Source organism: Homo sapiens, chromosome 18, assembly GCF_000001405.40.
Source record: "Homo sapiens chromosome 18, GRCh38.p14 Primary Assembly".
Lineage (NCBI taxonomy): Eukaryota > Metazoa > Chordata > Mammalia > Primates > Hominidae > Homo > Homo sapiens.
Genome location: NC_000018.10, coordinates 70205708 through 70215595, shown reverse-complemented (window position 1 = coordinate 70215595; position 9888 = coordinate 70205708). Strand labels below are relative to the sequence as shown.

Below are 9888 nucleotides of genomic sequence, written 5' to 3'. Positions count from 1 at the left end.
GCTGGTTTTTTTCTTTCTTTCTTTTTCCTGGAAATATTTCCTGCCCAGAATCATATATCTGACTGTAATAATGAAGTTATATGTCTTTATCTGTTGAAAAAACTTCTTAACATTATAATAATCTTACCTTGAACTTATACTGCACTCTTCATGGAAGGACTTTCTCATCTTGCTAATCAAATCTCACAATTTGGAAATCAAAGTACATACTTACCTCATTTTACCAAAAAAGAATGTTTTTGAGAGGTTAAATGGTAGAGTGAACAGTAACCCCAACCTGAAGGACAAGGGCAAATGGGACAGAAACATCTTGCATTTGCTGAATAATGTAGATAACTGGCAATGGTGCTCTAAGGTTCACAAAAGGGCCAGCCATCTGATCTGTCACTGTAGGAGGACTACATCTAAACGTCATCAGTAAATGGAAAATAACGCTCTCATAAATTCCGAGGAAAAGACACTGATTTTCCTTAGCAAACTTTTTGTGTCTTTACAAAATAAATTCTTTACGAAATAAATTCTTGTGTTTAATTTAATATCAGCCTATTGCTTTTTTGGGTACTACGTTATTAAGATACTATTCAGGTACTGCAAGATTCACCAATTTAAAGTGTACAATTCAGTAGGTTTTGATATATTCACAGATATGTGTAACCATCACCACAGGCAATTTTAGAACATTTTCATTACCTCAAAAAGAAATCCCTTATGCTTCAGATATTACCACTCTATTTCCCCAATGACCCCCAAATCTAAGCAACCACTAAGCTACTTCCTGTCTGTATAGATTTGCCTTTTCTGGACATTTCATATGAATGGAACCATACACTGTAATAGGTGTACTTTCATAGCTAGCTTTCAGTTAGCACGATGTTTTGAAAGTTCATCCACATTGCAGCATATATCAGTACTTCCTTCCATTTTTAGCTATATAATATTTCATTGTATAGATATGGTTTATTTATTCCATAAGTCTATTGTTTGTTCATGAATTGATGGCCATTTGGCTTGTTTCTAACTTTTGGCTCTTATAATAATGCTGCTATGAACAATAGTAGACAAGTTTTTGTGTGTACTTATGTCTTCATTTTGGAGAGCAAGTACCTAGAAGTGAAATTGCTTGGTCATATAGTAACATTCGGTTAACTTTTGAGGGACTCCCAACTGTCTTCCAAAGTGGTTGTAACATTTTATATTCCTACTAGCAGTGTATGAGCTTTCTGATTTCTTCGCATCCTTGTCAACACTTACTATTTTCTATTTTTTTAGAGTTTCATTTTTTTTAAATGGGGAAATTCACAGAACAAAAAATTAACATTTTAAGGTGTACAGTTCAATAGCATTTAGTACATTCACGATGTAGTACAACCATCACTTCTATCTAGTTCCAAAACGTTTTCATCATCCCCAAAAGGAGGCAGCAAAGCCAAGGAGTCACTTCCCATTCCCGGCTTCCACCAGTCCCTATCAACCAATGATCTGCTTTGTCCATCTATGAATTTACCTATTCTGACTAGTTCATTTTGTTATGGACTGAATTGTGGTCCTCTCACCCTCCCAAATTCATGTGTTGAAGCCCTAACCCCCAGTGTGATTGTATTTAGAGATAAGGGTGTTCAGGAGTTAATTAAGTTTAAATGAGGTAATAAGGGGGAGACTCTCATCTGATAGGTCTGGTGTCCTGATAAGAAGAAGAGACAACAGAGATCTCTTTCTCTCTGCACATGCATAGGGGAAAGACCACGTGACACAGCAAGAAAATAGCTATGTGAAGGCTGGGAAGAGAGGCCTCCCCACACACTCAACCTGCCAGCATCTTAATCTTCAACTTCCCATCCCCCAGAACTGTCAGAAAATAAATTTCTGTTGTTTAAGCCAACAAGACCATCATATTTTGTTATTGCAGCCCAAGCAGACTAATAGACATGTAAATGGAATTATCCAATATGTGGTCTTTTGTGACTTGTTTCTTCACTTAGCATGATGTTTTCTGTATCATGTCTCACTACTATATTCCTCTATCGATAGACATTTTTGTTGTTTTCAGCTTTGGCTATTGTAAATAGTGCCTCTATAAACATTCATGGGCAATGAATTCATTTGTTGGAACATCTGTTTTCATTTCTTTTGAGTATATACCTGGGAGCAGAATTGCTAGGTCATATGATAATTCTGTGTTTAACTTTTTGAGGAGCTGCAAGACTATTTTCCACAGTGGCAACACTATTTTAAATTCTTAGCAACAATGTATGAGATTTCCAATTTGTCCAAATTGGAAACTTGAAGTTTCTCCAAATCCTCATCAATAATGTTATTTCCCTTATTTTTGACTATAGCTGTTCTAGTAGGTATGAATTGATATCTCGTTCTGGCTTTGGATTTGCTTTTCCTTGATGACCAATAATGCTGAACACCTTTTTATGTGTGTATTGGCCATTTATGTAGCTTCTTTGATGAAACGACTACTTAGATCCTTTGCCCATTTTAAAATTGAGCTGTCTTTTGTATTTTTGTACTTTTATTTTTTTGAGACAGGGTCTTACAATGTTGCCCAGGCTTGAGTGCAGTGGTGTGAACATGGCTCACTGCAGTCTTAATCTCCTGGGTTCAGTTCAAGTGATCCTCCCACCTCAGCCTCCTGAGTAGCTGGGACTACAGGTTTGCTCTGCCACACCCATCTAATTCTTTTATTTTTTACAGAGATGGGGTCTTACTGTGTTTCCCAGGCTGTAGGTTGCCTTCTTATTTTTGAGTTGTAAGAGTTCTTTACATATTCTGGATAATAGTCTCTTACTAGATATATGATTTGCAAATATTTTCTCCCATTCTGTGTATTGTCTTTTAATTTTTTTGATCATGTCCTTATGTGCACAGTAGAAGAGACCTCAAGTTACTGGCGACCTACCCTTACGGGTCCGTAGCAACTTCAGTCCTTGCCTCCTCAGAACAAAGAATTTGACTGAGGGGCATAAAGAAGAAAAAGAGATGGAGGCAAGTTCCAGAGCAGGAATGGAAGTTTATTGAAAAAGGCCTCAGAACAGCAAAGAAAGGAAGGTGTGCTTGGAAGAGACCCACTGCTAAAACTTAGAAGTACAAAAGTTTTTAATTTTGTTGATGTCCAGTTCATCTATTTTTTTGCTTGTGTTTATGCTGTCAGATCAAAGAAACCGTTGCTTAATTCGCAAAGATTTATGACTATGTTTCTTCTAAAACTTTCTAATTTAGCTCTTGCAGTTATGTCTTTGATCTATTTTGAATTAATTTTGTATATGGTGTGAGGTGCAGATCCAAATTCCTTCTTTTGCATATGGTAGCCAGTTATCTCATTTGTTGGAAAAACTATTCTTTCCCTTGATGCACTGGTTGATAATCAATTGACCAGAAGTGTGAGGGTTTATTTCTGGACTTTCAATTCTATTCCATTGTCTGTCCTTATACCAGTATCACACTGTTTTGAATACTGTAGCTTTGAAATATGTTTTGAAATTCAGAAGTATAAATTATCTGATTTTGTTCCTTTTCAAGATTGTTTTGGTCAGTCTGATTCCCTTGATTTCCACATGAATATGAGGACAATCTTAAAAATTTCTACTAGAAAGGCAGGTGGGTATTTGATAGAAATTGCTTTGAATCTGTAGTTCAATTTTGGGGGTATTGCCATCTTAACAATACTAAATCTTCCAGTGCATGATACAGGATGTCTTCAATTTATTTAAATAATATTTAATTACTTTTAATAATGTTTTATAATTTTTAATGCAGAAGTCTTTCATTTATTGTGTTAAACTTATTCCTAAGTATTTTATTATTTTTGATATTATTGGAAATTGAATTATTTTCTAAATTGGACTTCTGGATTGTTTATTGCTAGGGTATAGAAAAAGAATTGATTTTGTACATTGATCTTGCATTCTGCAACCTTGCTAAAGTCTCTTCTTTGCTCTAATAGTTTCTTTGTGAATATCTTAGGATTATTTTTTCTTTTTTTTGAGATGGAGTCTCATTCTGTCACCCAGGTTGGAGTGCAGTGGTGCCATTTCAGCTCACTTCAACCTCTGCCTCCCAGGCTCAAGTAATCCTCCCACCTTCCACCTTAGCCTCCCAAGGAGTTGGGACCACAGGCACATGCCACCACTCCTGGCTTATTTTTTTATTGTATTGTATTGTATTGTATTGTATTTTATTTTTTTTATTTTATTTTATTTTATTTTATTTTATTTATTTTATTTATTTTATTTTATTTTATTTTATTTTATTTTATTTTATTTTATTTTATTTTATTTTATTTATTTTATTTTTGGTAGAGATGGGGTTTCACCATGTTGCCCAGGCTGGTCTTAAACTCCTGAGCTCAGGTGATCCACCCGCCTTGGCCTCCCAAAGTGCTGGGATTATAGGCATGAGCCACCACGCCCAGTCAGGATTTTCTATATATAAGGTGATGTCAATTACATATATAAATTTTCTTTTTTTTCTAATCTGGATGCCTTTTATTTCTTTTTCTTGTTTAGTTACCCTGGATAACACTTCCAGTACAGTGCTGAATGGATGTGGTGAAAGTAGACAACTTTATCTGCGTCTGTCCTTTCATAATTAAGACAACTATTTATTAAATTGTGAAAAGAAAGCAGGGCTCAAATCACGTTGCTCTAATTGAAATGGAAAGTGAATACACCTTGTTTCAATCCTTCCACTTTAAAATGGCATAAAATATGTATTAACTTTCTATTTTGGTATTGAGAGAATAAATTAGAATTTGATGATGCCCTTCAAAATTAAATATGTGAATTCATAGGACAAAGTTATGGGGCATGATTAGGAAAATTCGTAAGTGAGGGATGAAACCTGGGGTCATTTTTCCTTCCTAGAGATCAGAATTATTAATAAATCATGACCTTTATTCTGAAAGAAGGAAGGCTGGGGTGCCAGTGACTTTCCTGAAAGACACACGAAAACGTATGCCTGCCCTGGGGACAATGAATAACTTCTACACATATATTGGTTTGAGCCCCCTTTGTTTAGGAATCCTGCTTGCTTGCTCTTTTTATATGATGTTTTCATAAATAAATTATGATCCCAGTTAATGTAAAAGTAGGTTGTAAAAGGATTTCCCTCTTGGGCCAATAATGTGTCCCCTCCGAAGAATAAGAAAAAAAGTATCAGAGTGCTTCCTTCCCCCTTTTTCTGTTGCTGGAAATGTTTTCGATATGGCTGCACAAATAAATGCAGTAAGGTTGTGGGCACCTCCACTCTGCAAGCCTCCATCACTTACGTAGCAAAGTTGTTTCTGGGGCATAAGATCCCTTTGATGAAGGCAGCGTCTACCTTGCAGTTACACTCACAGACAGTACTTGAACATGGTTTGACATTGCATTCGATTCCTGGAAAGGGAGGTACCTCCAAGTTTGACAGGTGTTAAAACAGAGCTATTATTTGTAGTAACTACTTATTATGGGAGGTCTTGGAACAAATCCTTTCTCTAAATCATCTTCTTTGGCCCCCAGGCAGTCCTATTAGTAGGTATTATTATTAATCTTAATTTTTACTTGTGGAAGCTGAGGCTTAGTGAGTATAGAGATATCATTTTTTTTCTTCCCTCTGTGCAAGATTCTTTTCCCTCATTTTCTGTGAATAACATACCTTTTTAAGTGGAAGTCTTCTGCCCCACTTTCTGTAACTCTAATTTTAATAATTATAATATCCTGCCCTGCTGTTCAGAGAGTGTGAACAAATAACCTAGGATCAGGTAATCTCCTACTGGTAATCCTGATTAGGGTTCTTATCATAGATTTTATATCTGGATGCTCAGAGAGAAGCTTTCTTTTTCTTCTGGAGTCATTATATGGGAAGATGGAAGTCTGGACCACAATCTTCTCCTCCTCTACATTTTGAGGAAATTCTGCCTGTAATAGAAGAGAAACATACAACACACTGAGAAAATCAAAGCCGAGAGATGAATAAAAAACACTGGTATTCTTTTGAGTCTCTGAGGCTAGATCCACTTCTAGAGTGAGATATTAGATAACCCATTTTTGCTTACTTGCCTGACTTACAGCTTTGTTATTTGCAATCGAGAAAGTTAATCAGCTTGCCCACAGTTGTGTGATTAGGGAAGCCAAAACACTGCTTTTAAATCCATGTCTGTCTACCTCCAAAGCTTGTGCTCTATACAATATTTTAGCTTATACTGATATGAACCAGATTTCATCAAATATTAACAGAAAGAAAGGGTATAAAATGCACATGATCACAACTGACAGACCCACCATGTATAACCCCAAATATGAAAACTCATGTCCAAAGTGTGAGGAAGAGCAAAAATGTATGTCTTTTCCAAGAGGAAAAAAAGCATTTCATTTCCCCCTAGAATCAATTCCTACAGATAGTAATATGAGTTCTTAGGAGAGTAACTATTTCCTGTGACTTTGGGTATAAATATCTCATCTAATCTGAGTGATCTGATTCAGCACACTGAGGCAATGACTGCCAGTGATTTTACAGGTATGACCAAGAGGTTGAAGATGAATCAGATTCAAGTGGAAATAGCAGAATCAGTAGATAATTAGATAGTAGAATTTGACCTCCGCCTTTGGGTTCATGTGTCCTTAATGTCCTGTGGCTTGTGATCATAGCAAATCTCAACATATAATAGCTCTACCCATGACCCCTTCCCAATCCATGTATATATCACCAGTTGAGTGACCATCATTTATCATCGTGTAAAATTCAACATAAGTTTTTATACATAGCATTTAAATAAATACAACAAAAACCACTGTAAATACAAGAAGAAAATTATGTAGTTTTCTATACATCCACGCAGACATCTATTGCCCATTTTTTTCAAGTTCACCTAAAATCTTTGACTTTAACATTCAAATTACAAAAGGCCCTGACCTTTTGTAATTGTTGCTGACTCTGATATAATAAAAGTCGAAATTAATAACTAAAGTGTATGTAAGAAAGACTTGGTGATTAAAGACCATCTTCCTACATGGATCTTGGGTGAAACAGAAAGTATCAAAACAGCAGTTTCAGATTGGCTGAGAACAAAACCTTACAAATTGAAACTCATGATACATGATTAAAACTTTTTTTACATGCAAATTCATGGACTTAAAATTCTCTATAACTAATAAAGAAAGAATGTAAACAAGACCTTTAGCTTAAGAAGTTAAAAAAAGAACAGCAAAACACACTTAAAGAAGGATGTAGCCCAGGTGCGGTGGCTCACGCCTGTAATTCCAGCATTTTGGGAGGCCGAGGCAGGAGGATCATTTGAGGTCAGGAGTTCGAGACCAACCTGGTCATTGTGGCGAAAACCCATCTCTACTAAACATACAAAAATTAGCTGGGCATAGTGGCTCATGCTTATGATCCCAGCTATGTGGGAGGTGGAGGCAGGAAAATCACTTGAACCCAGGAGGCAGAGGTTGCAGTGAGCGGAGATCACACCACTGCACTCCAGCCTGGGCGACAGAGTGAAGTAACTGGTAAAAAATAATACAGTCAATACACTAGAATATATATGTGTGTTTTTAAATAGTAGAATTAATAAATCAAAGGTTGATTTTTTTTTAGGAAAAATTGCTGAATCAATAGTCTAATAGGAGAATGATAGATTATTTGCTTTGAATGTAATGAATGGGATTTAATTATTTTTGTCTAATTACAGGAGCAATATATGCTCAACAATGAAAATAAAATAAAATGTTTATGTTGACCTTGGGTGCAACATAAGTAAAACCCTTTCATAGTTTGACCCCCATTTTACTTGTAACATGCTTGTTTTAAGTCAATGGATTTTTTATATTTCTTCTACAGTATTATCGCCCCTTACCCCACTGCATCTACAGTCTCTCATCACCTAAGATTGTTCATCTCAGAAACATCATTGACAAGTTATTTCTATTATTTTTCTGTATTGTCATGTGTTTTTTGACCTTGACACTTCAAATCCGTAATTAACACCTTCCTTCCTGGATAACTACAGACACTTCTGAGTTGGTGTAACTGGTTCTGCAGTGCCCACTGTGGTATGCTATCCATCAGGACATGTGGTCTTTGGGTCAAGGAATTCAGCCACTGTTACAATCTTGGCCAGGCAGGCTTAGGCATGGGCTAGTGGAATCTTGGTTTAATATCCGTATCTCTTTCCTCCTACTTTCCAATTTCCTGCTGATGCCTCCTATCGGCGGCAACCAACTGGAAGCCAGAGGGCCAGGCAGCCTGGATAGTGCAGTCTTTTTGCCTGTTCAGGTCAGTTGATGCAGAGCTGGAAGAGCTGGGAGGAACCACTAGAAGGTGGAATGGAGAATATCCAGCATGCTAGCAGCAATCTTGCCCTTCCTCTCTTCTTCCCAGAGATAATATGGCCACCTTGAATTTTGTTCTTTTCCCGAATTTGACACACTCCGTCTGGATTCTTGCCTTTGCAAATACAGGTTTCTCCTGCAGGAATTTCCTTACCCAACTTCTTTGTGTGGCAAACTCCTACTTACTCTTTAAGATCCAACTCAAATATCATCACTCTCCTATTGACACACATGAGGAGGCAGCAAGGCACTCTAAATAGAACAAAGAAACATCAGGTCAGCTCCTCAATCTGTCACTTACTAGTTAATGTGACTTTGTGTGGGGGTACTTTTGTGATTCTAAGTTTCCTCTTTGGCAAAATAGGAATGGGAATACAGTAGGCCTTTGCTGTCCACTGGTTGCACACAGAGAATTCAACACACGGGATGGAAAATATTCGGGAAAAAACCCCACAGTTGAAAATAACAATACAACAATTAAAAAATAATATGAATAAAAGTACAGTGTAACAACTATTTACATAGCATTTACAGTGTATTAGGTATTGTAAGCAATCTAGAGATGATTTAAAGCATATAGGAGGATGTGTGTAGGTTATATGCAAATACTACACCATTTTATAAAAGAGACTTAAGCATGGGTGGATTTGGGTATCTGCGGGGGTCCTGGAACCAATTACCTAGGGATACCGAGGGCCCACTTTACCTGCCTTGACATCCCTTTCCCAGGGAACGTGAAATGATCAGACCGAGAAAATGCAAATCATTTTCCAAATGTAATTTTGTTGTTGTTCTTACCGCTGCTTATAATTAAAAAAAAAATAATTTGCTCAGCTCGATCACTGTGCACGGTGCAAAAAATCAACTTTGGTACCATTCAGCAAATCATACCCCCACGTCCCGCCTTTATTTTCCTTTTTTGCAGCCCGGTTTCTCTCTTCTGCTCACTCATACCCGCCCACCCCGCTTTTGTAGCTTGCTTGTTCATATCTGAACTTGGGTATCCAAAGACACTGCTTGACTTTGCAGGTACATTTCACAGTTAAAGAGGGTTCGTCATTTAGTAGTCGGGGATGGGGAGAACTGTCACAAAGCAAAAGTCTACATTCTAAATCGTGAAGTTCTGGGAGCTGAGAATCAGATTGGCAGGGCCAAGAACGAATCCGTCGACGAGCCGGGAGGCGGGGCTCCTGCTGGGGCCTCTGCAGCCCGCGCTGGGTTCCCGAATTCCCGCGCTGTAAGCCGGAACCCCAGGCCAGCGGGCGCCGCGGCGGGCCCGGAGATCGGTGCAGGACGCACGGCCTAGCCAGAACTACAACTCCCGACGTGCGCGGCGGCCAACGCTGGTTCTATCCCTGCTTGTTGCTTTTTTTTTTCCCTCCGCTTCTTGCGACGGAGACTGCTGTCCAGGAAGTGCGCAGTAGTGATTCTAGAGAGGCTGGAAGCTCTCCTGGCGACGCTGGGGCCGCGAAGGGCTCACGTAATGACTCCTACTCCTGGTGAGCGCAGGCGTTGCGGAACTCACCGTCCCACAGGACGTGTTTCCGGGGGTACATTAATTGTGGCTGGACGC

At 38.1% G+C, this 9888-nt stretch overlaps 2 long non-coding RNA genes across 6 annotated transcripts, besides 4 other annotated features; one reads left to right on the top strand and one right to left on the bottom strand.

Annotated features, from left to right (window-relative positions):
* Positions 1 to 3459: 3459 nt before the first annotated feature.
* LOC124904321 (uncharacterized) lies at positions 3460 to 5243 on the top strand. Its single transcript, XR_007066411.1, has 2 exons — positions 3460 to 3603; positions 4512 to 5243. It is a non-coding gene; the product is annotated as an uncharacterized LOC124904321 (long non-coding RNA).
* LOC105372180 (uncharacterized) lies at positions 4612 to 9843 on the bottom strand. Of its 5 annotated transcripts, none has more exons than XR_935599.3 (3): positions 9022 to 9807; positions 8502 to 8567; positions 4612 to 5903 (listed from the first exon to the last, which is right to left on the bottom strand). It is a non-coding gene; the product is annotated as an uncharacterized LOC105372180 (long non-coding RNA). The 5 variants fall into 5 exon arrangements; XR_935600.3 differs by having other exon boundaries at positions 5593 to 5903; positions 7841 to 8567; XR_001753492.2 differs by having other exon boundaries at positions 5593 to 5903; positions 9114 to 9807.
* Positions 9212 to 9841: an enhancer, noted in NCBI's record as "NANOG-H3K27ac-H3K4me1 hESC enhancer chr18:67872991-67873620 (GRCh37/hg19 assembly coordinates)". NCBI's record gives its function as "activates a minimal SCP1, AML or CMV promoter by ChIP-STARR-seq in primed H9 embryonic stem cells {active_cell/tissue: H9 hESC(primed)}" and the evidence as "EXISTENCE:reporter gene assay evidence [ECO:0000049][PMID:30033119]".
* Positions 9212 to 9869: a biological region, named in NCBI's record as "NANOG-H3K27ac-H3K4me1 hESC enhancer GRCh37_chr18:67872991-67873620".
* Positions 9510 to 9749: an enhancer, noted in NCBI's record as "active region_13486". NCBI's record gives its function as "activates an Ori minimal core promoter by ATAC-STARR-seq in GM12878 lymphoblastoid cells {active_cell/tissue: GM12878}" and the evidence as "EXISTENCE:reporter gene assay evidence [ECO:0000049][PMID:35858748]".
* Positions 9760 to 9869: an enhancer, noted in NCBI's record as "active region_13485". NCBI's record gives its function as "activates an Ori minimal core promoter by ATAC-STARR-seq in GM12878 lymphoblastoid cells {active_cell/tissue: GM12878}" and the evidence as "EXISTENCE:reporter gene assay evidence [ECO:0000049][PMID:35858748]".